Consider the following 25,435-nt stretch of genomic DNA (forward strand, 5'->3'; position numbering starts at 1 on the left):
AGCTGTGCCTGGCCACTTCCTGCCTCTAATCAAAGCCACCCTTCTACCACACACACCAATTCAAAACAAGGTCCTCTCCTTCACCCAAGGGGTTTCTCGAGTTTTTCTTCATTTCTTGATATTTTCTCTTTGTAACTCTTCTGCGGGTGATCTTGGGATAGGGAGCCATGGTCACAGTAGTTCCATCAGGATCCAAGCTTAAAGATCTTGAGTAGTTGCTTTGTGCTAGACACTTTATTCTACATGTGCCACCTGTATTAACTCATTTAATCTTCACAACTACCTTGTAGTTATAACAGCCACATTTTACAGATGAGAAAACTGAGGCATGAAGAAGTTAAAAAGTAGCCAGGTGTGGTAGGGTGCACCTGTAGTCCCAGCTACTTGGGAGACTGAGGCGGGAGAATCACTTGAACCAGGGAAATGGAGGCTGCAATGAACTATGTTTCACCACTGCACTCCAGCCTGAGTGACAAAGTGAGACCCTGTCTCGAAAAAAAAAAAAAAAAGTTAACTAACTAAGCCAGGACTCTAAACCAGGCAGTCTGATTCATGAGTCAGCCTTCTTAACCTCTGCCTTGCAGTGAAACCCAAATTACCCAGTACTCTCTATGGGGACGATTGACAAAGTGTTGGCCAGGGCATTGCCCTGTGATGTCCAGGCTTATGAGACATTGGTCAGAGAAGAGAGAGAGAGGGTGACAGGAACAAGGCATTAACAGCCAGGCTAGCTGTCAGCAGCATTTGATCCCAGGCAGGAGACTCTAATGGACCTCTCTGAGCAGGACACAGACAGGCTCTGTGTGGTTAGAGATGAAGGGAGGAGGAGGAGTGAGTGTTTGCGAGCTCAGCCCAAATGAGGGCTGATGTCACTTCTCCTTTGTGCATTTGTGTCCGAATTTGACATCTGATGTAAACCGGTTGGTGCTAAATTCTGTCTTGTGTTTTCAATCTGCTGAATTGGAAGTCCCTCATGGGAGCATTTGGGTGAGCCTCAGCAACTCTGGCTCAGAAACCACCAGATGCTTCCCAGAGAAAGTTGTTTGGCTGCCAGTACCCACTGCCATACTTGCCTCTTCACACTACTACATCTCCTTCTTTCCTTGGCTCTGATGGGCCAACACATATTGTAGGGCAAGTCTGTGTCATAGGCCCTGGGAAGGATGCTCTCGATTGGTAAGATTTGAAGGTGAAAGTTACTGGCCATGAAACAGAATGAAGACCATAAGACGATGGAAGCTCGGACTCCAGTTACTGGGCTCTAATGAAGCGTGGCGTCATGAATTTTAGTAAAAACAAGGCCAGGGGTTGATATGTTGCTTCTTCATGCATGGCTCTTTCCCTGAAACCACAGCTCTCCTCCAGTTGTTTCTGAAGTGCCAGGCACTTTTTTCACTGGGGCTGCTGAAAACGAATCCGAAACTGATTTGAGGAGCGTCTCCTCCCCTGCTGGGGCTCCTGTGCCTAAGGTTTCAGGTGGTTGGGCATGCCTTCTCTGAGTGTTCTCCGTCAGACAGGCTGCCTGGCCCTAGAGACTTGCCACATGCTTTCTGAGCCACAAATATTTTACACCATGAGTTCCCAGCTGCTGCCCTTCCCCCCGCTTCCATTCCTTTCCACCTCTTCCTCATTCCTAATCCCACACCTTAAAATCCCTTTAGCCACTGTCACCTTACCTTGTCCCTTTCTCATGTGGACCTCTCTCTGGAAGTTCCAAATCTGGGAAGCCTGAATGCACCTCTAGCTTCAACCTGCTTGGCAAAGGAAAGTGAAATGAACATCTTCGAATGTTTCCTACATGGCAGAGGTTGTTTGCAGTGCCTTACTTAACATTATTTCATACAAATCTCATGACAATTTGAAAAGGAAATGTTTATCCTCAAAGGTCCTGAGGCTACTAAGGCCTAGATTAGAAAGTGGCAAAACCAGGCTTCAGACCCATCACTGTCTACCTCCAGAGTCCACAGTATTTGCGTGATTTTGGATGTCTCCGGAGCCCCATTCGGCTTTCCCAGCTTTCTAACCTCATAGCTCTGTTCCCATGCAGACCTGATATTTTGCTTCTTAGAATTTAGAAAAGAAAGGGGAGTGGGGTGGGGGAAAAAAGGAAAAGAAGAAAAGGAAAGAACAACCTTCCAGCTTTTTCTTCTGAGGATCATACGTCTTTGTAGAATAACTACAACAATAACATAATACTAACTTGTTGTGTGTGCGTGTGTGTTTTAACTGGAAGGGGGCATGTGTCATTCAGTGATTATTTAAAAAAATTTTAAGCCATGGAACCATTAGAAAATGATACTGTTTTACATACTGGGAGCTCCAGTATGTAAAACACAGGAGTGGTGGTGACTGAAGTGATGGTGGTGGAAGGAGCTCCAAGGTCTGGCCTTTCTATGTACCCTGCAGCCAGAAGCATGTCACCCTATAAAGCAAGATAGCAAGATTGCTAGTCTCAGGATTCTGTTGAACATGGTTTGAAAGTCTCCTGATTGTTTTTCCTTTTAAAATAAGCAAGCTGAGGCCCAGAGAGAGGAAGTGGCTGGCAGAGTCAGGACTAGTGCCTGGGTCTCCCAGCTTCTATCCTGCAGCTCTTTACAGAAATCCCAGTTTGTATATTTTTGCACAAACTCCGCAGGATGCAGTCCAGGAAGGGATGCAGGTGGAGGTGGAGAAGGAGGAGGGCCTGGGCTTCCACTTTTTCTCTTTCCTCGTCACCAACAACCTGAACTCCCAACCCCTGTGGGGAATGGGGTAGGTCAAGGAGAGGACTGACAGGGATTATAGAAGAGTGCGAGCGAAGGTACAAGGAATCAAGTTTGGTAGCCGGCAAGGAAGAGAGGTGAGGCAGAAGATGAGGGGAGGAGGTGAGGTGCACAGAGCAAAGGAGCCACCATCCCAGCTCAGGACCAGGGCTGGGCTAGAATCTGGGCCCTGGTCTCGTTCTAGTATTCCCTTGAGCAAGTCCTGGCCCTTTTTCCTGCCCGTTTCCTTTGAGGGCTTCTCTGTCACCACCAGTGAGCGTGTATAGGCTACAGGAGGAGCAGTGAAGAGCAGTGTGCTACAGAGAGCACTGCACCCCAGGAAACAGAATTAGTTGGCCCAGCTCTGCCTATAAGTAGCTGAATGTCTTGAGGCAACTTCAACGTTTCCCTGGACCTTAGATTCCTTGCCTGTAAAACAGCATGGGGCCAGATGATCTCTAAGGGTCCTTCTGGCTCTGAAGGCAATGATCTGGGGCATGGAACCTGTAGTTAGAGAGCTGGGAAATGGGCAGATGTGGGCTCCAGGGCACCCAGAATTGCAGGCTTAGGAGCTAACAGCAACCAGGATTCTGTAGTCTAGCAATCTTGCTTTACAGGTGAGGAAACTGGGCCTAGAAAGGCGAAGTGATTTTTTTGCCTCTCTCAGCTTTATTCCTCTTTTCCTCTGAACTGTAGAGTCTAAAGATTCAGCACAAAGCAGTTTTGTGTAGTGGATACATAAGCTTTTTTGTTGTTATTTTTCTGAATTATTTTGTTGACTTTCAAAGTTTTTTTTACATAAACAGTAAATGCTCGTTATAAAAATTTCCATTAATACAGGAAGTGAAAAAAGTAAAAAACTGCAAATTGCTGTTATCCTCCCACCCTTACCCCCTAGGTCCCCAGAGGTGTCTCTGTTAACAGTTCAGCGTGTATCCATCCTGACTCCTCCAATAAATGCAGAAACTTGTATGTCTCTCCCCGACAACTGGATTATCATATACATTATTCAAGCATAGGCTTTAGACTCAGACATATCTACATCTAATCCCAGCTTATAGCTAATTATTTGAGTGACCTTGGCCAAGTTGTTCATCCAGTTTTAGTCTCAATCTCCCCATGTGTAAAGTGAAAATAATAATAGTATCTACCTGGCCTGGCGTGGCGGCTTATGCCTATAATCCCAGCCCTTTGGAAGACCGAGGCTAGTGGATCCCTTGAGCTCAGGAGTTCAAGACCAACCTGGGCAATTTAGCAAGACCTCATCTCTACTGAAAAACAAAAAACAAAAAAACTCCCCCAAAATTAGCCAAGTGTGCTGGTGTGCACCTGTAGTCCCAGCTACTCGGAAGGCTGAGGTGGGAGAATCGCTTGAGCCAGGAAAGACGAGGCTGCAGTGAGCTGTGATTGCACCACTGCACTGCAACCTGAGCAACAGAGCGATACCTTGTTTCTGTTAAAACAAACAAACAAACAAAATAGTATCTACCTTATAGGATCATGGTGAAGATTTAATGAGATTTTATATGAATAGCACTTAACAGTTCCTGGTACTGATAGTAGTAAGCACTACACACACACACACACACACACACACACACACACACACAGAGCACAGAATGAGTTAGAGGTAAAGTGAAAACTAAACCCCAAGTTTTCTGACCCTCAGTCTCCTCGACTTTCTACCACATCTCTCTGCTTCTCTCCTAGGTGCCTAGGCATGGGTTCAGTGCTCACTACTTGTTGAATGAATGACTGAGGTTGTGTGTAAGGGGGTAGATCTAGGGATCTGAGGTCTGTGGAGTTCCTGGGATGCCTGCTCTGGAAAATGGAGGCTTTCATCCTGTGAGTTGGGAGGGTGTGGGGCAGTGTGGGTTGGCTGGACCAGCTGTTGCTTCAGAGCTCCATGCCTGGAGAGTTGGGCCTCTAGGCAGAGCTGAGGGCCCAGAGTGGCTCTCAGCTTAAAGGATCTTGGCTTAGAAGGAATGTGCAGTGGGCTGCCTCTGCTCGGGAGGGGCTAAAAAAAGCCTCACCCTCCCCTGGGCTTTGTGTGAGGCTTATCAACTGCTCAAGTCAGCTCATCTCTCTGGCTGCTCCGGCATATTTGAGAAGGTCTGTTTCCCTGGTCCTTCTGGGTTTCCACCAATTGGCAAGAAGGGATCAGCCTGTCCTAGAGGTGAAGAGAGAGCTGTGGCATGAAGGGGAGGGGGCTGGTGGCCCCAAACCTGGTGACAATACACAGTTGTCAGCTGTACCCTGCTGGCGTTTCTTCCTTTTATAGTCAGCAGCAGTTGCTCTTGCTTTCACCCAGCCCCTCTGTGGGGGCTCCTGCCCAGGATAAAAGGGAAGGGAGGCAGCCCAGGCTCCTATCTCATCTCCCAGACGCCACGTCTCTCGGTTTCTTCTTAGATCACTCCTCTGCCAAAGATCCCAACAAGACAACATGGCTCCCAAGAAGCCTGAGCCTAAGAAGGAGGCAGCCAAGCCAGCTCCAGCTCCAGCTCCAGCCCCTGCACCAGCCCCTGCCCCAGCTCCTGAGGCTCCCAAGGAACCTGCCTTTGACCCCAAGAGTGTAAAGGTAAGTGAGGCTCAGCCATTGGGATAGAGGTGGGGATGACATTGAGAGTCCTTTTGCTCTGGAGCTTAGCGATCTACTTTATGTGGGCTGGACTGGGATGAGGACTAGGGTGTCCATGCCCCAGATCGCAGTCCCATGGGGCAGTGGAGTGGGTGTTGGGGCTGATGAGGGGGAGATTGAGTCATAAACCTTTTCCGTCAAGAATGAGGTGCTGCTTTGAGGGAGCCCTGTCCTGCTACCCTAGATTTGTGCAGCTAAGTTGGGAATGGGGGGAGGTACAACCAACCATCCATCCACCCTTTTATAAGGCATTATGAGGACCACCATAGCAAAGTAAAACAGACTAGCCTTTTCCTAGGAGGTAGTGGGATATCTTTATGGAGAACAGACAGATCATGGCAGCTGCCAGTGTAACTTGGAGTAAGTGATATAAACAGTCAGGGAATATCCTCCCTGTGCATGGCAGTTTGGGAAAGGCTTCACTCACAAACACTCTTACGGCAGGTGAGGGCAGGGTGGGAAGGAGGTTGTGGTTAAGGTAAGAGGAGCCCGGATTCCTCTCTCTCTTTCCTTACCCAGACGGGCCTTTCCTTCTGTGGCCTTAGCCTGGGTTCCTATCTGTAGCATGCAGAGGACTGGCCCACCCTGGGCTGAGACCCTCTCTCCAACCGGGTCAGGAAGCTGGGCCTGGTTCCTTTGCCCCACCCTGCTCTCCTCACACAAAACATTCCTCTCCCTGGAGCTGGTGTGGGCCCTGCATGCTGACTCAGTCATTTTAGACCTCCCAGCTCTCTGGCCCAGCTGCTGAAGGAATGGAACTGGTGGGAGAGGGGTGGGCTGAAGAGGGAGGGGGCCAGAGACCTCTGAAGAGGAGCAGTTTTAAGCCTTGGCACCAGAGTGGAAAAGGTCAAGTGGCTACTGGTATGAAGAGCTATTAATAACAGGTTGGGAGTGCTGAGCCCCCAGGGATCTCAGCCTTAGGACAGGGCTGGGGGTGGTGAGGGATCAGGTCAAAATAAGAGCACAGGACAAGGTTCTGTGACAAGCAGGCAGGGAAATTAAAACCCAGAGCTCTAATTGTATGACCTCCCTGCCCTCTGAGAATTCCTCTCATACCCACAGCCGGGATAACCCTACAAGTATTATGCCAAAGACCCAGTCCCCGCAAGGGACAGGAACTGCTTAGCCAAGAGATGGAGGCAATTGTCCCTTTTCTGAGCTTGGTTATGGCTCACTCTGGGGAAACTGAGGCTACTGTAGGACCCTGAAAACACCTGCAGGTTTTCTAGGTCATACATCACTCCATTTACAAGCTGAGCCTGGCAGGAAAAGCTGACTATTTCACCCTTCAGGATCCCTCCTCGCCTTTATTTCTGATTTGTTCCCATAAAGCACTGTGCCTTTGGGTGGGTTGCCAGGCCTTGTCCCTGGTGTCTGGGCAACAGCTGCCTAGTGGCATCAAACTGGTGTCCTTCCCTTGGCCTGTCACTTCTTTCATTCACTCTCCTCTCTCAATTTCTCACCCGTGAGAAATTGCACCCCTGGTTGCAATCCTCTTTTCCATATCTGCATCTTCATGGGGGTTGTTGAAGTTGCTTTGAAGTAGAAAAAAAATAGGTATCTTTTATGAGAGACATTTTCCCTATTATTGTGTTATACTTACCCAGTTCCTTTGATTAGAAGGTTCTTTACTCCAAGACAGAAGAGAAGCCAGATGAGGTGATTCATGTTTATAATCCCAGCCCTTTGGGAGGCTGAGGCGGGAGGGTAATTTGAGGCCAGGCATTTGAGTCCAGCCTGGGCAACATGGCAAGATCCTTGTCTCTACAAATAAATAAATAAATTATAAAAAAGATTCGAAGATAGAACAGAAGCAAACTTAAGCCCAGTGTGTGTAGTTAGGACCACGTCTATTGAGATTTTAAGTTTTTACATTAATTGCTCTTACATGTTTATTCCTGGTTCTTAAAGCATTGTAAAGTAAGGCAAACTGTGCCTTTTCCTCAGAGAGTGAATGCAGAGCATCCTTCACCCCATCTAGGGGGTTCCTTTAACTTTCTGACCACCCCCTACTTTTGGCAGTCTATTCCTAGCCACAACTAGTTTTCTTTCCAACCCAGTTAACTCCCCACTGCCCCAACCTATCCCCAGCTCATGGCTGCCATATCTGGGTCCTCATGAATGGAGGTCAGTTCTCGGAGATGAGACAGGATGGGCACAGCACAAGCAGCAGCAGAATTAGGACTAGGAATGACGGCACTTGAAGAAGAGGCTCCAGGATTGGAACCACCACCAGTGGAGAGGGGATGGGATGGGATGGGGTGGGGTGGGGTGCATAAGGACCACGAGGTAACATACAAGATCTTAAATCAAAATGATGACTTGGGCTGGGTGTGGTGGCTCACGCCTGTAATCTCAGCACTTTGGGAGGTCGAGGCAGGTGGATCACCTGAGGTCAGGAGTTCGAGGCCAGCCTAGCCAACATGGTGAAACCCTGTCTCTACTAAAAATACAAAAATTAGCTGGGCGTTATGGCGGGTGCCTGTAATCTCAGCTACTGAGGCAGAAGAATCGCTTGAACTTGGGAGGCGAAGGTCGCAGTGAGCCAAGATCACACCATTGCACTCCAGCCTGGGTGACAAGTGCGAAACTCCATCTCAAAAAATAAGAATAAAAAATAAAATAAAATGATGACTTATGCTTGGCCATTGTCATTCACTCTCCTCTTCTGTACTCAGCATTAAATTACTATGCATTATATGGGGGAAATCTAAAATGTATTACTTCATTCAACAAATGTTTTTCAGTGCCTACTATGTACTGAGCATTTCAGTGAACAATAACAAGAATCCTTGCCTGAGGGAGCAGTGGCTTCAAGGAGACAGAGTGCACGTAAAGGCATGACTGGAAACAATTAGGAAGCGTGGAGGGCCCATGCCAATTGCTCTTGCTGTCCCAGAGTGCCTAAGAGTGTGTCAGAAGACAAAATTAGAAGGCATTTTAGTTTAAAGATCTGAATTGGCTTTTATGTTTGAGTCTAGAATCTGGCAACAATGAGCCGAGCAGAGGAGGTGGTATTATAGACAAAGAAAGGCTGAGGTAAGCAGAAATGAGAGCAAAATGCAAATTGTTCATTGCAAAGTTACTTTTCTTGTAAAGGTTAAAGCAGATGGCACTTTCTTATCAAGCTGGCTGAAACTGTCATGTTTGGGGATTTGGCTATTATCTCTTATTTTCCTGATTTCTTGGAAAATCAGATGAACAACTTAGTTTCAGCTTGGTGACATGGAACTTCAGCATGAGTGAATCTATTTTGGTTTGGTCTGTTGGTCCTAGTGTAGGAGCTCAGTACAAACCAACGGCCTCTTATAAATTGTACTTAACGAGGGATATGTGCTGAAGGAGGGGTTGGAGTGGGATGCGGTGTGGGAAGCCTTCATTGAAGGGAGTGGATTTAAAATCAGAATCAAATAGAAAGAGCAGTCCGAGTGTGGGGAGTGGTGGTGCCCAAAGAGGGCAGAAGTGCAGCTTGTCAGAGGACTATGGACTAGGAAGAGATTGAAGGGGCAACAGTGAGGGCAGTTTGTGGGTGGCTAGGATGAAGAATTTACCTCAGACCCGGAGGCATTACAATAGGCAGTCCGTGTACGTTCTAGAATTATCCAGGGAATTTTTCTTTCCCTTTCGCTCTTACCTGGAGCCATCACTTAATAAGCGGTATTGAGAGAGCTTTGGAGTCTGCATTACAGTTGTCCCTCGTTATCTGTAGGGGATTAGTTCCAGGACCCCCACGGATACCAAAATCTGAGGATGCTCAAGTCTCCTATATAAAGTTTGCATATTTGCATATAATCTACACACAACCTCCTGTATAATTTAAATCATCTCTAGGTTACTTATAATACCTAGTACAATGTGAATACTATGTGATAGTTGTTATGTATTTTTTGTATTATATTTTATTTTCGTGTGGTTATTTATTGTTTTCTGAATATTTTCAATCCAGAGTTGGTTGAACCTGGGGAGGAGGGCCGACGGTATTTTATAGCCTGTCAGTTGTGGCTCATTCATCAGGAGACTTGTGTTTTACCCTTAGCACAAGTCACCTTCCCTGCTTATCAGTGGCCTGCTGGAGGTGGCCATACTGCATTGGAAGCCACTTCTGCTTCTACTTCCCTTTGGGGGGCCTTTACAACTGCTTTTAGCAATCCAAGCCCTCACTACTATTTCCCTCCCTACAGATAGACTTCACTGCCGACCAGATTGAAGGTGAGTATGGACAACCCCACCTCTCCGTCTCTATTGCACTTTCCTGGAGGAGGAGGAGGAGGAGGAAGAAGAGGAGGAGTAGTTGTCCTCATGGTAATAGTAATCACTGTCATCATCATAGCAAACCTATATTGAGCATCTACCATGTGTCAGGCATAGTCCTAGGCACTTTATATGGATTAACTCCTTTAATTCTCATAACAACACCATGAGGTAGAAATTGTTACCTCCCCCATTTTACAAGTGATAAACTGAGACACATAGAGATTGGGTGACTTGCCCAGTCTCACATGGCAGTCAGCAGTAGAGCTAAGATTCAAACTCAGGCAATCTGATTCCAGATCTGTTTCCTCAACTACTCTGCCAGACTGCTTGGAGCATAGTAGATGCTTAACAAAAGTTAGTGCCTTTTTTTCTTGGCCCCAAAGATCTATCTAAGATATTTGGAAGCCCTCATTTCTGTTCCCATTATTGGAAAGCCCTCCTTAGTTTACCAGCTTCCCCTCTTCCCACCATGAAGTCTGCCAATATGCTAACCCACTAATGGTGGCAGGGCCAATGAAATGTTTTATCATGTGATGCTCTGTGTCCCCAGCTGTAAAGCAGGACTCAATGTCATTGCAGCGTATCCCTCTGTTTCCTCCACCAAACGCCTCTAGGACATAAAATTATAGGAATTGGAAGGGACCTTGAAAAATCACCTAATCCAACCCCCTCATTTTAAGCACATACTCTCTTTTAAAACTTAAATGAATATTTGCACATGGTAAAACAAAAAAGCAAAAAAGCACACACATATTACTTAAAAGTAAATAATAAAAAATAAAAATCCTTTTTTTCCATGCTGATTCCTCTCCCAAAGACAACCACTGTGAACAGGTGTTTATGTATCCTTTCAGAAAAATATATAATGATACACAAGTTTGTGTGTATGTATGAGTGTATACAGTTTATACAAATCAAGCCGTGTGATACACACTGTCCACCTTTTATTAAATATATACTTGGATTTAATAATATACAGTATTTGGATATCTTTTCAAAATTAACACAAACAGTTCTACCTCATTCTTTTAAACAATTATATAGACTCTCACACACAGATGTACCCTTTTAATTTAATCAAGACTATATTGATAGGCTTTCAGATTGTTTCCGGTGGGAGGATATCAGCTTTCTTTCGCCTGTGGCCTTCCTAGCAGGGTTTAAAGGATGGTGCATTTTAAATTATAATGGTTATTACCAGGTTGCTCTCCAAAAAAGTGACACCAGTTTACCCACAAATGGAGCATGAGAGCTGGCATATGCATTTTGAAACTAGTGAATTGAGCCTGACTCTGTTTTCATAATACTCAGTGGATACTCACTTGCAGCATTAATTTCAATGCATTTTAGTTAAATATATACTTACGTGGATATAGAAACACAATGACACTAGTGAGGACTGGAAAATCAACTAATGATTTAAAATTTTAATTTCCCAAATGGCCAACTGGAACAGATGGTTATCTCTTCTCTCCTGAAGACTTTCAGGGCTGATGGGGAGGGGACAACTCATTCTGATCTTTTATCCCTCTGACTTTGAAGACATTTTTCCTTCTGTTGAATCAGAATTGTTTTTCCTTTAATTTTACCCCAGCGATCTTTTCATTTGTTTTTTGGTGAAGATTATAATGGTTTTCTCATTGTCATCTTGGTTATGGTGGAAAGAACATAATTTGGAATTAGGAGACTTTCGTATTAGCCCTAATTCTTCCATTATTGGCCATGAGACTTCGGACAAGTCACTTCTTTAAATCTTAATTTTCTTATCCACAAAGTGAGGGTATTTGGGTTTCAATTCAGAAATTCTAGTCCATTCAGCATCCTCTAGATATCCTCCATCTATTTGGAGATAGTTTTCAAATCCCTCCTAAGATTTATATTCTCTAGGTGATATGCCTCAATTTATTTTATTTTATTTTATCATTTTATTTTATCTTGAGACAAGGTCTTGCTCTCTCACCTAGGCTGGAGTGCAATGGTGCTATCATAGCTCACGATAACCTTGAATTCCTGGTTTTAAGCAATCCTTTCACCTCAGTCTCCTGAGTAGCTTGTACTACAGGCATGTACCATTGTTTTTATGTTTTGTAGAGATGGGGGTCTCGCTATTTTGCCCAGACTGGACTCCAACTCCTGGCCTCAAGCAATCCTCCCACCTTGGCCTCCCACAGTGCTGGGATTATAGGCATTAAGTCACTGTGCCTGGCCTCCCAATTTCTTTTGTGCTTTTTTTTTTTTTCCCCCTCATAGGAATTAGCTTCTAACCCTTGGCTTGCTTCTCATCCCTCTCCAGACTTCTGTATTCTTTTAGAGAGGGGTTACTACCACTGGACTCATTGCTCTAGTAAGCAGGTGACCACACTACTGCAGATTATTGAGGAAAGGTCTCTTCTGGACCCTTGAACATCACCTCTAATACCTGAAGTTCACACTGGCTTTTTTTTTTTTTTTTCTAGTTGTAGTCCTAAACTTCAGTGTTTGATTTTTTTATGTGCATACCAGGCTTCCCAGCAGGCCAGGTGATTGGTTGGAGCATTAGCAGTTATAACAAGCAGGTCTCCTTCTCTTCCTCCTTCCTCCCCATCATTTCCTTGGTTTGCTTAATAGTTGATCATAAGTCATATCTACATTGGCTTTTACATGAGGATAATAATACCTATAGCATATATTTTTTCATAAAGATTAATAAAGTGTTCTATGCAAAATTATTTGCTCAGATCCTGGTTCATGGTAAGTGCTCAAATTATAGGTCATTGTTCTTATTACCTTCCTCTTCAGGTTTCACCCTCTTATTAAGCATCATGACATCTTTTTTTTCTTTTTCTTTCTTTTTTTTTTTTGAGACAGAGTTTTGCGCTTGTTGCCCAGGCTGGAGTGCAATGGTGTGATCTCTGCTCACCGCAACCTCCGCCTCCCGGGTTCAAGCAATTCTCCTGCCTCAGCCTCCTGAGTAGCTGGGATTGCAGGCATGCATCACCACGCTCAGATAATTTTGTATTTTTTATATAGATGGGGTTTCTCCATGTTGGTCAGGCTGGTCTCAAACTCCCAACCTCAGGTGATCTGCCCGCCTTGGCCTCCCAAAGTACTGGGATTACAGGCGTGAGCCACTGTGCCTGGCACATCATTACATCTTCTTTTGAGGAGACTTCCTCTTTTGTTAAACTTGACCTCACTCTTCTGAATGAACTAGGAGATCAAAAAGTCTGACTTCAGATTCAACTAACAAATATGTATTTATCAAGCACTGAATTTGTGCCAGACACCATGCTAATTGTTTTAAAGGTAAAAAAGATAAATCCTGCCTGGGTGCGGTGGCTCATACCTGTAATCTCAGCACTTTGGGAGGCTGAGGCAGGTGGATCACTTGAGGTCATGAGTTGGAGACCAGCCTGGCCAACGTGGTGAAACCCCACCTCTACCAAGAGTATAAAAAATTAGCTGGGGGTGGTGGCACGCACCTGTAATCCCAGCTACTCGAGAGGCTGAGGCAGGAGAATTGCTTGAACCTGGGAGGTGGAGGTTGCAGTGAGCTGAGATTGTGCCACTGTACTCCAGCCCAGGTGACAGAGCAAGACTTTGTCTCCAAAAAAAAAAAAGATTACATCCTTATAACAAGGCTATGAGGTAGGTGTTATTTCCTTTTTACAAAGCAGGAAACCAAAGTTCAGCAAAGTTAAATGATTTGGCCAAGATCACATGGTTAAGTGATCCAAATTAGGATTAAACTCAATAAGATAATACTAGCAGCATTGTTTATGCATTTACTATGTGCTGGTCATTGTGTTAAAAATTTTTACATACATTATTGTATTTATATACCTAGTATATTTACATACATTATTATATTAATTTGAATGTAATTTAAGAAACCTATGATAGCTGGGTGGAGTGACTCACACCTGTAATCCCAGCACTTTGGGAGGCCGACGTGGGCTGATCACCTGAGGTTGGGAGTTCGAGACCAGCCTGACCAACATGGAGAAACCCCGTCTCTACTAAAAATACATAATTAGCCTGGCGTGGTGGCGCATGCCTGTAATGCCTGTAATCCTAGCTACTCAGGAGGCTGAGGCAGGAGAATCGCTTGAACCGGGAGGCGGAGGTTGCAGTGAGCCGAAATCGCGACATTGCACTCCAGCCTGGGCAACAAGAGTGAAACTCCATCTCAAAAAAAAAAAAAAAACAAAAAACTAACTAAAAAGAAACCTATGATGTAGGTACCATTTATAGAAGAGGTTTTTAGAGGTTAAATATTTATTTGTCCAAAGTCAAGCAATGGGAATGAAATTTGAACTCGATTATTCAGTAATGTGAAAGAAATGTGGTTTTATGTCTTTTAAATTCATATAAAGCCGAAGAAAGAGTTGGAAGTAAAGGTCTGGGGAATCTTCTGTGATATGTGGAATGATTTGTAAATAATCCATACGCAGCCTCGAAGGAAAGAAGTACTTGGAAAGGATGAAAACTGGCTTTTTTTCCTAAGTAGTTCATGAATTCTTTTTTGGCTTATACTGTTCATCTGCTTAGTAAAGCACTTCTTTGTGGGTAGCATAAGGTAACTTAAATGCCCCTCCCAGGCCAAATTACCTCCACTAATGAATTGGTTGAATCCCAATCAATGAAGAATTGGGCCCGGGTATGATGGCTCACACCTGTCATCCCAGCACTAGGGAGGCCAAGGCAGATGGATCACTTGAGGCCAGGAATTTGAGACCAGCCTGGCCAACATGGTGAAACCCTGTCTCTGCTAAAATACAAAAATTAGCCAGGTGTCGTGGTGGTGGGCGCCTGTAGTCCCAGCTACTCGGAGGCTGAGGCACAGGAATTGCTTGAATCTGGGAGGCGGAGGTTGCAGTGAACTGAGATCACACCACTGTACTCCAGCCTGGGTGACAGAGCGAGACTCTGTCTCAAACAAAAACAAAAACAAAACCAAAACAAATCAATGAAGAGTTAAGGTTCTTTGAAAAAGGGACCAGGAGTGCCTTCCTTTGGTCTTGCTGCAGGGATACTTGCCCTGCTGCCTTCAAGGAGTCCAGTCCCTGTGGTTCTGAGCTGGTAAGTAGGAAAGAGAACTAGGAAACAGCTGTAACCACAATTTGTCGATTCCCTTACCATATGCTGAACATTGCTTGGCGTGCTTTGTGATCCCACCTGCAACCCACTCAAGTGATCATTGTATCTCCACTTAGAGCTAGGAAAATGAGGGCCCACAGGGGTTAATAGTTTGCCCAAGGCTGTATGCGAGTCCATGGCAGAGCTGGGGTGGTCTGACCATTGCCTTATCTGGCCTGGGGGCCGCCTTTCAGCCTGGAACAGGCAGTACTGATAACAGCTGACTTTCCAGCGGTCTTATCACTTTGTAAAGTGCTTCCACACACTGCGACCTCCCTTTGCTCTCACAGTGACAGGCCCAGGGAGTGGGGTGTAGTTGTCACTCCCTTTGTGTGCACATGAAGCTGAGACCCAGCCCAGCTTATCCTGCACTCTGAGGCAGAGCCAAGATGAGAATTTAGGAATCCTCACTTCTGGGCCAGTGCTGTTTTCACTTGTCTGTCATTTCAGGAGTCAGGAACCTCACCTACACCAGAGCGGGATGTGTGGGTGGGAGGGGTGGAGGCCAGGGAGACATCTGAATTTTTTTTTTGTTTCAAGATGGAGTTTCACTCTGTCACCCAGGCTGGAGTGCAGTGGTGCGATCTTGGCTGACTGCAACCTCTGCCTCCCGAGCTCAAGCGATTCTCGGGCCGCAGCCTCCCAACACTGGAATTTTATAACAACGAAGCAATAGAAGAGATCCCAGTCCCAGCCCTGGAATGGGTCGTGGAGGCACCAGGCTGCTTCTTTGGTTGACAGAAGATGGGATGAGGACGGGTTCGAGGGACGGCCTGGGATAATGGACAAAGCGAAATATTGGGATATTTTAACAACCACACTCACCTGCTATTCAGCTTGGGTGGAGGCTGATTGGCCACCAGCCACCACCTTCACTGGGGATTGGAAGGTATAGCTGGGTCTTCTCTCCACAGAGTTCAAAGAGGCCTTTTCATTGTTTGACCGGACCCCGACTGGAGAGATGAAGATCACCTACGGCCAGTGCGGGGATGTACTGCGGGCCCTGGGCCAGAACCCTACCAATGCCGAGGTGCTGCGTGTGCTGGGCAAGCCCAAGCCTGAAGGTCAGTGCGGCTGCATGGCAGACCTCTCCCAGGGTCAGGCTTGCAGCCCCTTGGCTTCCTCCTTGTCCAGATCTTCTCTGCCATCTGCACTCTCTCTTCTCCTGCTTTAGCCCCTCAGGACCAGCCTCACCTACCCAGCTTACCCTAGTCCCATTTTGAGAATTTATCTAGACGTCCCCGTACTTAAGTGACCCTTGAGGAATGTAGCCTGGGCTTGTTTCCCTCACGAGGTTGGGAGCTCCTGTGGGGCATGAGCCACATTCTGTTGCCTCAGTGTCTGAGGAAGGCTGAGTGGGAATCTGGAAATCTGATAACTGATGGTTCCCACTCCCCAGCCCAGGAGCTCTCAGGAGGGGCATCTGTCACAGCACCGAGGTATCCTGTGGTGGCCATCGCGAGCTGTATTACAAACAATTTGTTTCTAATAATGGTTAGAGTACTGACGTTTGCAAATTGTTTGGTATAAATTAGAGCAGCTTCAAGATTCTTAGCTCTACGTGCTGCCTCTTTCATTCATTTGCATTTCAATAGGTTTTGGTGAGTGAGTGTTTAGAATGGTGAGTAAGTGTTTAGAAAGTGGTGCAAACGATTCTTTTGTGGCTCCTAAGTGTGATCATTGAGTGTTCATACTCATGTGAGCTGTGCCTCTGTCAATCATTACGGCAGATGAGAAGAGGTGTGAGGGAGTGTGTCCTGTTTGTGAATGTTGTCTGTCATGTGTGCCAGTCAAGTTAACAGCTGCTCTAAAACACACACACATGCTTCTCCTCAGTGGTGTTGGCACGGGGTTTGGGGTGGGGTGAGCCTCTCAGCAAGGGTGGTCTGTCTCTGGAGGCTTCCTGGGCCCCATAGTGGTTTCCTCCCCATCCCTTGGTTCTGGCCCGTCCCCCTTCTCCTCTGGCTGAAGGTAACCGCGGGGGTGAAGGATGTGGGCAGGAAAGGACCAGAGGGCTAGGGGCTTGCATCTCAGAAGTCAGAAGCAAGTCCTGTGTGCTTATAAAAGAAAGAAATGCCCACATTTGTGATATTTAAAAATAGTTTGCCTCTATTAAATTAAAGCCTTTTAAATACACTACCATGTGGGAGAAGTATGCTATTCACAAGAGAACTGTGAATTTATAAGAATTATTGATTCAGAGTAGCTTCAAGCTGTGTGGTCTAGTGATGGGACCCCATGCAGAGTGATGCAAACGTTGCTTTTTTCAATCCTGTTGGTTTGCCCCTGTGATTATAGGTCTGTCACGTCAAGGGTCTAAACTGAGTGTGAGGCCCGGGCCGCGTGGCACTTCAGACCCCTCACATCCTGCTGCTGCCACCCTCAGCTCCTCCGCTTGGCTGGCCACCTGGTGCTTAGAGGTCTGGGTGGAGGGCTCCTTTTTCCTTCCATCCTACTGCTTTCACTGAGAAAAGAGGGCCCCTGAGACCATCTCCCCAGCTCCCAGTCCCCTACCTTGCTTGGATGGGAAGCTCTGTGTCCTCTAGGAGCACTAATGGGTGTACCACCCAGAATTGGCTGCAGCCCAAGCCCTGGGTGCTGTCAGACTTGGGGTGAGGCCCCCTCTTGACCCTCTGCTCCCTTGAGCACCTGCTCACATTGATTTCTCTTTCTTTACCCTGCCTGCCTGAAGAGATGAATGTCAAGATGCTGGACTTTGAGACGTTCTTGCCCATCCTGCAGCACATTTCCCGCAACAAGGAGCAGGGCACCTATGAGGACTTCGTGGAGGGCCTGCGTGTCTTTGACAAGGAGAGCAATGGCACGGTCATGGGTGCTGAGCTTCGGCACGTCCTTGCCACCCTGGGTATGCCAGCTGGGCAGAGATGAAGACCAAGTGGGAGGAATGGAGGGGTGGGAGGTGCCAAGGTGACATATGCTGGTTGGGTGGGGGGTGGTATACAAGGGTCTTTGCATCCTGAGGATAATGACCTGATCCAGGCCCTGTCTCCCTGGGCTCTGCAAGAACAACCATTCCCAGTTGGGTTTGCTCAGCAGGTACCAGGGTTTGGGAGAGGAGGGGAGAGCAGGTTGGCAGAGCAGGGCTTACTACTGAGGCCTGAGAGGTGGGACTCAGGGCTTCTGTCCTTGTCTTTGCCTGAAACACTGAGGCTCTGGAAGCTGTAAGGCAGAGGGGGAGGCTTCGGAGACTAGGCAAGACCTTTAGACCCTTGGCCGCACCCTTCAGAACCTCTGGGAGAGGCTTGGTTTGAACCACCTCCCAGATCCAGGCAGTCTTGGACCTTCACACTTAAGGGGGTACTTGGGTATTGCCAGTTCCTCCTTTGCCATCTGTAATTAAGAGCGCACCACCTCCCAAACCCACCGCAGGAGAGAAGATGACTGAGGCTGAAGTGGAGCAGCTGTTAGCTGGGCAAGAGGATGCCAATGGCTGCATCAATTATGAAGGTATTAAGCCGCGCCTTGCATCCCAGGGCAGCCAGGGATGGTAGGATGGGAACAGCTTGGGTGGGGTGGGCCCAGGAGCTGGAGGGTATGTGTCTGAGGTGGGTTTTTGTAGACCCCCCATTGGATGTTGTTCTGTTCCATCTTGTGAGTGAACCTCCTAGTGTAATGGCGGGAGCATGGATTTTGGAGATAGCTCTGTGATATATTAGCTGGTGGGCTTGATTAAGTCACTGATTTTCTCTGAGCCTCAGTTTTCTCATCTGAGGGATGGGGGTGATGCTGGCACCTTTCTCAAGGCTGTGGGGATTCATAGAGATAATGTAGTTCATTCCATTTGTGTTGAGAATCAGCATAGAGAGTGGGCACAGAGCAGAGTCTAGGTATCTGCCCTCCACCCACCTTCTCCCCACCAACCCCCAAATAAGAGCAGGAACTACACAGTCTGGAGAAAGGGGAGCAGGAGGGTTAGAAGTCAGGCAGTGTAGAGAAGGGACAAGTGGTTTATGGGCCTAGAGGCGCTGAGCCACATGGTGGCTGATTTTCACTTTTTTCCTAGCCTTTGTCAAGCACATCATGTCAGGGTGAAGCAGAGTCTTCCAGGTGAGTGCAGCCTCTCCCTCCTGGTCCCTTCCGGGGTCACATAGGGCCTTAAGAATAACACCATGTGCCCTAGAAGGCATCTGTCCCAGCCCTGACCCCTTAAGAGGAAACCTCTTGGGATCAGGAAGTGAGGACAGCCCTGCTCACTCACCATCTCCTGTCTCCTGCCTGCCCTTGCCTGTTCACCCTGTCTTGACCCTATCAGTCACATCCTCTTGCCTCTCCCAGGATCTCTCAAGGCAATGCCCTTCCCTCAGGCCTGGGGCCTCCTGTACAGGCTCCTGGGAGTGAGAAAGCCGATCCCAAGTGGAAGAGAAGGTCCCTGGCCTGTGCTCTTGACCCCGTTCTTCCTCACTTCTTTCCCTAGGTTTTCCCTGGGATCCCCCTGGGTGTGGTAAGGGGCTGGGTCTAGGAGGGTGAAATGCCCTTTCCTCCTAGCACTTTCTTTCAGGTGCCTGGCCCTTGGCTTTAGCCATACCAGGGTGAGTTAAAGAGAGGCCCCGGCTGGGTGAGCTGAGATGGAGTCCTCGACTTATCACCACACCACTGCCCCAAGGACCTTACAGGCCCTCCCTGTTAATAAACAGCTCTAACACGGCCAGGCTGGGCTCTGGGATTCTGACCAGTCTCTGTTTTGTTTGTTTTTTTAAAACTAATTAACGAATTGCATTGGTTTGCGTTGTGTGTGTGTGTGTGAGAGAGAGAGAGATAAAGTCACCTGAGGCCTCATGTGTGCTCAGAGAAATGAGTAGTATCTGGGAGCTAGGAGACAAGGACAAAAGCCTGTGGATCTAGAGATATTGGGGTCAGACCCAGGAGAGCAAGCTCTGGAAGGCCAGCAGCTTGAGGAGTTGTCACCTGGAGGAGTTTTATTCCCTTTGGGCTCACCCTCTACCTAATCACACCTCCAGATGGCAGGCAGAGAGGGGCCAGGCTGAGGCAGGGACTCCTCCTTTGGTCCTTGCTCTTGCTGCTTTTAAACAAAAATTGTTGTAAAATACACATAACATGAAATTTACCATCTTAACCATTTTTAAGCATACAAGTCAGTAGAGTGAGGTATATTCACATTGTTGTGTAACTGTATTAGTCTCTTTTCATGCTACTGATAAAGACATACCTGAAACTGGGAAGAAAAAGAGGTTTAATGGATTTACAGTTCCACATGGCTGGGGAGGCCTCACAATCATGGCGGAAGGCAAGGAGGAGCAAAGGCACATCTTACATGGATGGCGGCAGGCAAAGAGAGCTTGTGCAGGGAAATTCCCCTTTTAAAAACCATCAGATCTTGTGAGACTTATTCACTATCATGAGAACAGCATGGGAAAGTTACCTCCTACTGGGTCCCTCCCACAACACATGGGAATTCAAGATGAGATTTGAGTGGGGACACAGCCAAACCATATCAGTAATGAATCTCCAGAACCTTTTCATTTCCACCAGCAGAAACACTGTACTCAATAAATAACTCCCCATTCCCTCCTTCCCCCAGCCCCTGGCAATCAGCATTCTACTTTCCATTTCTATGAATTTGACCACCCTGGATAAGTGAAATCAGACAGTGTTTGTCTTTTGTGACCGGCTTATTTCACTTAGCACAATGTCCTCGTGTTCCTTTTTTAAGGCGGAATCATGTCCCATTGTATAGGTCAACCACGGTTTGGTTTGGTCCTCGCTTTTTTAGGTGCCTCTTCCTCTGAGTGCAAAGCTCCTGGTACCTGGTTCAGTCCTGCCTGTTCTGGACATCTCATTGACTCCAGACCCAGGATTCCAGCTCAGTGCCCTGGAAAGAGTCAGGGTCAGAGGTCAGGAACCTCAGGCTGAGAGAGGAGGAGAGTGGGGAGAGGCACGTGGAAAAGAGACGCCTGAAAACCAGCAATTGGGAAGAAGGAGCAAGATGATGTGAGGAAGTTAAACACACATGTATATGAGTAGAAATATTTATATGGGAGCACAGGGGTCCAGTCATCCCAGAAAGGGAGTCCTTACATCCCTGAGGACTCCCCAAGGTGAAATAAATCCTTCCCATGGCCTTTCTGTTGCCTAACTATCAATCATCCAGCCACAGAACTCTGTGAAACATCTAAGAATTCAGCCAAGGCTGCCTGCCTGTCATGGGAAGCTGAGAACCATGAGCCCAAGTTTGCTTTTCTTAGAATTTACAGTCTGGCTGGGGAGACAAGGCCAAGGTCTATATACATGCCCTTTGTTTCCCAGATTTTCTTTGAGGAAGGGTTTCAGCTTTGTGAGTGACTGGTTGAAACACAAAACCAGGGATCTTTATACGGTTGAGCAGGGGTTCATTGAATCCAGTGGTTCTCAAACTTTGGTTTAGACCCATAGCCTTTTGTTCGAACTAAATTTTATGGGGAAGTCAGTGCATGAAACTGAAGAGAACAGAGTTTCTCTGGCTGAGGAGGAGAGGGCTGGGTTCAGGCTTCTTGGAGCCTCTAACTAGGCTCCTTGGAGCAGAGCCAGTTCACCGATTAGTCAGACTTCCTAAGAGTCAAAATCAGGAAAACAGATCCTTAAATGGGAAGTGACTTAATCAAGGTCACAGCTAATGTTGACAAGGTCCCCTGAATTCTACATTGTTTCAATTTTCAACACACCATTTTCAACCTGCCTTTGAAATGTTTTCCAAGCTTGGCTCTTAGGACTCTTTTCCTTGTCCCTACCTCGCAGACTGCTCTTTTTGGCCTCACTTTCTGCTCCTTTTCTTTAAATCACACCCCCAGTTTGAAATGCCAACATTCTCCTTAGCACTGGGGCCTCGTCAGGTTTTCCTCCTTCCCTTCTTTTTTTTTTTTTTTTTTTTGGTTTTTTAACATTTATTTTAGGTTCAGGGGCACATGTGCAGGTTTGTTACATAGGTAAATTGCATGTCTCAGGGGTTTGGTGTACAGATTATTTCACCACCCAGGTAATATACATAGTACCTGATAGGTAGTTTTTTGATCCTCACCCTCCTCCCTCTCTTCTTTCTTTCTTCAGCAAGTATTTATTGCTCACTGTATTCACTTGTGAGGAACTGGAGTTAAGGTTCCCAGTGATTTGAAAACTGAAAGTGTTTTCCTTGCCCAAAGTAGCTTACTGTCCACTTAAGCAAGCACATAAGTATCCAGGGATAAATAGAGAATGATCCCCAAATAGCATAGGGATAACTCCATCTATGTAACATACAGTGTAAGTTTTAAGGAACCAATACAAGGAGGAACCAGAAAGAAGTGAGGCATTACAAATATTTTCTCTGGGAGAAGGGCTTTCAGTGAGACCTTAAAGGAAAAGGTGCCCCAAGGTTGGTGCTTAGCCCCAGGGAGAAGAAGAGCATGAACAGAGGTCATAGCTCACTTACTAATTCAACAGATGCCCATTGGGTACCTGCTGTGCACATGGCACTGGCATGAGCCTTGGGGATATACTGAACCACACAGACATGGCCCCTGTCCTCAAGGAGCTTTCAGTCTAGTGGGAAGACAGACATTAGTTATAATCATGTGACAACATCAGCCAACATTTATTGAACACAGTATTAATTAAGATTATATTTGGCTGTGCGTATGGACACCAAAACACAGTGGCTTAAGAGACATGGAAGTGCGTTTCTTCCTCCCATTACAATCCAGAGATTGGCAGTCCCTGGCTGGCACAGCCGGCATGCTCCACAGTCCTCAGGGACCCAAGTTCTTTTATCGTATGGTGTCTCAGTGTGTGACCTCTACACATGGTCTAAGATGCTGCTCCGGCTCAGCCATCACTTCCACTGAGAGAATAGTTCAGGAAGCATTTTATTTTCTTTTCTCTCTCTTTTTTTTGAAATGGAGTCTCACTCTGTGATCCAGGCTGGAGTGCAGTGGCACGATCTCAGCTCACTGCAACCTCCACCTCCCAGGTTCAAGCGATTCTCCTGCCTCAGCCTCCCGAGTAGCTGAGATTACAGGTGCGCGCCACCACACCCAGCTAATTTTTTGTATTTTTAGTAGAGATGGGGTTTCACCATGTTGGCCAGGCTGGTCTCAAACTCCTGACCTCAGGTGATCCACCTGCCTTGGCCTCCCAAAGTGCTGGGATTACAGGTGTGAGCCACCGCGCCCAGCCGGGAAGCATTTTCTACTTCACAAACCTCCTTGGGAACCAGTGCAACTTATTTGCTGCCTCCATGGTGTTGGGCTTGTTTATCTGAAGACAGAAGAGACTCTTGTCCTCCTAGTCATCCCTTCCCCAACCCTGTACTTTGCCCGGCCCATAACTAAGGTTTGGCACTTGCCCCTCCTGGGAAGAGGTATGCATAAAAAGTGACTAAATAAAGTTCACGATTTTCTTCAACTAGACTGACTTCCACTATTTCGAACCCAGATCCAGACCATGTACAGTTGACCCTTGAACAACATAGGCTTGAACTGTGTGGATCCATTTATATACAGACACTTTTCAATAAAATTTACACTGAATGTGCCTGTCCCTCCTGCCTCTCCTTTCACCTCCACCTCCTCTTCCACCTCTGCCACCCTAGGACCGCAAGACCAACCCTTCCTCCTCCTCAGCCTACTCAACCTGAAGACAAGGAAGATGAAGGCCTTGAAGATTATCCACTTCCACTTACTAGTAAATATATTTTCTTTTCCTTATGATTTTCTTAATTTTTTTCTCCAACTTACTTTATTATAAGAATACAGTCTATAATATATAGATACAAAATATGTTAAATTTTTATGCTTTTCGTAAGGCTTCCAGTCAACAGTAGGCCATTAGTAGTTAAGTTTTTGGGGAATCAAAAGTTATATGCACATTTTGATTGCACGTGGGTTGGTGCCTCCAACCTCTACGTTGTTCATGGGTCAACCATAATTTATGGAAATAGGACTGAGCCCACTGGGGGCCCTTCCACCACCCTGAGGGGTTCCTGACTGAGGGCCTGAGAAGGTGGCATCTCAGGCAGGATGAGTGTGAGTAAGTGGGCCAGAAGGAGGAGGGGAAAGGTGTCCCAGCTCGGGGGAAGATTTAAGGGGGGCTCTGGCCTGGAGCCAGCAATGGCACCATCCTGAAGGGATGATGACACATGAGGGGACACAGGGAAGCTGCTTCTGTGGAAAGAGAGTATGACTGTGTGTTCCCCAAAGGCCAGGCTTTCTGCTCCCTGTGGACAGATGCTGGGGAGAAAGTTGCCCAGAAAGTTATCAGAGGATGGGTATCTTCATGGAAACTTCCCACTGTCAGAGGAACGAACAGCCAGTGACCTTCAGGAGGGAGGTGGGAAAGGAGCAGAGGGGGAGAGGGTATTCAGGGGCCTTCTGTAAGTCTCCTCCCTGTCCACTGCCACAGGCCCCTGACAGAGGCCAGAGCCTCTACTACCCCGCGGAGAGAAAATGAGCAAAGCGGTCACTAGAGCTAAGATGATGATCATATGAGGTCCCCTGATGTCAAAGGTGAATTTCAGAGAGATGATAATAAAGAGCATCATCAACTTACTGAGCACCTACTATGTGCTGGCACTGTGCTAAGCACTTCTATCATTCTGTCATAGCAGTTTAGGAGTTTATGTATTTATTAATTAAAAACATTTATTAATTTAATTATTAATTTAAAAATACATAGGAAGAATAATAACAACAAACTCGACTCATAATTTTTCTAGTTTCCCCTCTCCAGTTAAAGATGGTAGCATGGGCTGGGCACAGTGGCTCATGCCTGTAATCCCAGCACTTTGGGAGGCTGATGTGGACAGATCACCTGAGGTCAGGAGTTCAAGACCAGCTTGGCCAACATGGTGAAACGCTGTTTCTACTAAAAATACAAAAATTAGCTGGGCGTGGTGTTGGATGCCTGTAATCCCAGCTACTCGGGAGGCTGAGGCAGGAGAATCACTTGAACCCGGGAGGTGGAGGTTGCAGTGAGCCAAGATCGCACCACTGTACTCCAGCCTGGACAACAGAGTGAGACTCCATCTTAAAAAAAAAAAAAAAAAGAAGTCCGGGCGCGGTGGCTTACACTTGTAATTCCAGCATTTTGGGAGGCCGAGGCAGGCGGATCACAAGGTCAGGAGTTCGAGACCAGCCTGGCAAACATGGTGAGATTAGCCAGGCGCGGTGGCAGATGCCTGTAATCCCAGCTACCTGGGAGGCTGAGGCAGGAGAATTGCTTAAACCTGGGAGGCGGAGGTTGCAGTGAGCTGAGATCGCGCCACTGCACTCCAGCCTGTGTGACAGAGCAAGACTCCGTCTAGGGGGTGGGGCTGGTCGTGGGGGGTGGGGGGTGGTGAGAAAAAGACAAAAGAAAAAAGATGGTAGCATGGCATATTTATATTCCTGAAACACTGTTTTAATCAAATTTCTTCCCTAATTAGGACTTAAAAGAGCTCCTATCCCCTACTGGGTCATTTCCAAACCTTTCTATTTAACTTCTAAGGCCTTCCTTTATTTGCCCCAAATCTGCTAGAGGCATCACTGGCTGAAGCCAGCTGATCTTTCTTTCTGTTAGCTCCCCAGTGCTGCTTCCCTCTCCCCTTCTCTCCTCACCCCAGGACCTCTTGATTCATCTTGTTTCTCTCTCCTGATACGTGCCCCATTCTGTTCATCCACCTTATTCCCACCCTTCAATACGCAAGTCAGGCTCACCT

General features: G+C 46.8%; 1 protein-coding gene across 7 annotated transcripts in view, besides 8 other annotated features; it reads left to right on the plus strand.

Annotated features, from left to right (window-relative positions):
- MYL4 (myosin light chain 4) overlaps positions 1-23,412 on the plus strand; it is a 38,218-nt gene extending 14,806 nt beyond the window's left edge. Inside the window, exons 1-8 of one of the 7 annotated variants that reach the window (XM_011524839.3) lie at positions 4,790-4,917; positions 5,151-5,319; positions 9,561-9,681; positions 15,666-15,815; positions 17,444-17,617; positions 18,142-18,219; positions 18,776-18,819; positions 19,271-19,441. In XM_011524839.3, coding sequence (XP_011523141.2) covers positions 5,185-5,319; positions 9,561-9,681; positions 15,666-15,815; positions 17,444-17,617; positions 18,142-18,219; positions 18,776-18,804 — 687 coding nt within the window. In that variant the 5' untranslated portion in view covers positions 4,790-4,917; positions 5,151-5,184 and the 3' untranslated portion in view covers positions 18,805-18,819; positions 19,271-19,441. Of the gene's footprint in view, positions 1-4,789; positions 4,918-5,109; positions 5,320-9,560; positions 9,682-15,665; positions 15,816-17,443; positions 17,618-18,141; positions 18,220-18,775; positions 18,820-19,270; positions 19,442-23,332 lie in introns of those variants that run through there. The other 6 variants (NM_001002841.2, XM_017024683.2, XM_005257391.6 and 3 more) reach the window with 6 other exon arrangements.
- Positions 144-193: an enhancer, noted in NCBI's record as "active region_12301". NCBI's record gives its function as "activates an Ori minimal core promoter by ATAC-STARR-seq in GM12878 lymphoblastoid cells {active_cell/tissue: GM12878}" and the evidence as "EXISTENCE:reporter gene assay evidence [ECO:0000049][PMID:35858748]".
- Positions 374-463: an enhancer, noted in NCBI's record as "active region_12302". NCBI's record gives its function as "activates an Ori minimal core promoter by ATAC-STARR-seq in GM12878 lymphoblastoid cells {active_cell/tissue: GM12878}" and the evidence as "EXISTENCE:reporter gene assay evidence [ECO:0000049][PMID:35858748]".
- Positions 474-523: an enhancer, noted in NCBI's record as "active region_12303". NCBI's record gives its function as "activates an Ori minimal core promoter by ATAC-STARR-seq in GM12878 lymphoblastoid cells {active_cell/tissue: GM12878}" and the evidence as "EXISTENCE:reporter gene assay evidence [ECO:0000049][PMID:35858748]".
- Positions 1,314-1,413: an enhancer, noted in NCBI's record as "active region_12304". NCBI's record gives its function as "activates an Ori minimal core promoter by ATAC-STARR-seq in GM12878 lymphoblastoid cells {active_cell/tissue: GM12878}" and the evidence as "EXISTENCE:reporter gene assay evidence [ECO:0000049][PMID:35858748]".
- Positions 14,720-14,829: a silencer, noted in NCBI's record as "silent region_8623". NCBI's record gives its function as "represses an Ori minimal core promoter by ATAC-STARR-seq in GM12878 lymphoblastoid cells {active_cell/tissue: GM12878}" and the evidence as "EXISTENCE:reporter gene assay evidence [ECO:0000049][PMID:35858748]".
- Positions 16,494-17,150: an enhancer, noted in NCBI's record as "NANOG-H3K4me1 hESC enhancer chr17:45298098-45298754 (GRCh37/hg19 assembly coordinates)". NCBI's record gives its function as "activates a minimal SCP1, AML or CMV promoter by ChIP-STARR-seq in primed H9 embryonic stem cells {active_cell/tissue: H9 hESC(primed)}" and the evidence as "EXISTENCE:reporter gene assay evidence [ECO:0000049][PMID:30033119]".
- Positions 17,151-17,806: an enhancer, noted in NCBI's record as "H3K4me1 hESC enhancer chr17:45298755-45299410 (GRCh37/hg19 assembly coordinates)". NCBI's record gives its function as "activates a minimal SCP1, AML or CMV promoter by ChIP-STARR-seq in primed H9 embryonic stem cells {active_cell/tissue: H9 hESC(primed)}" and the evidence as "EXISTENCE:reporter gene assay evidence [ECO:0000049][PMID:30033119]".
- Positions 21,165-21,459: an enhancer, noted in NCBI's record as "tiled region #4457; K562 Activating DNase matched - State 5:Enh". NCBI's record gives its function as "activates a minimal TATA promoter and a strong SV40 promoter by Sharpr-MPRA in K562 cells {active_cell/tissue: K562}" and the evidence as "EXISTENCE:reporter gene assay evidence [ECO:0000049][PMID:27701403]".

The sequence above is a fragment of the Homo sapiens genome, chromosome 17 (assembly GCF_000001405.40).
Source record: "Homo sapiens chromosome 17, GRCh38.p14 Primary Assembly".
Lineage (NCBI taxonomy): Eukaryota > Metazoa > Chordata > Mammalia > Primates > Hominidae > Homo > Homo sapiens.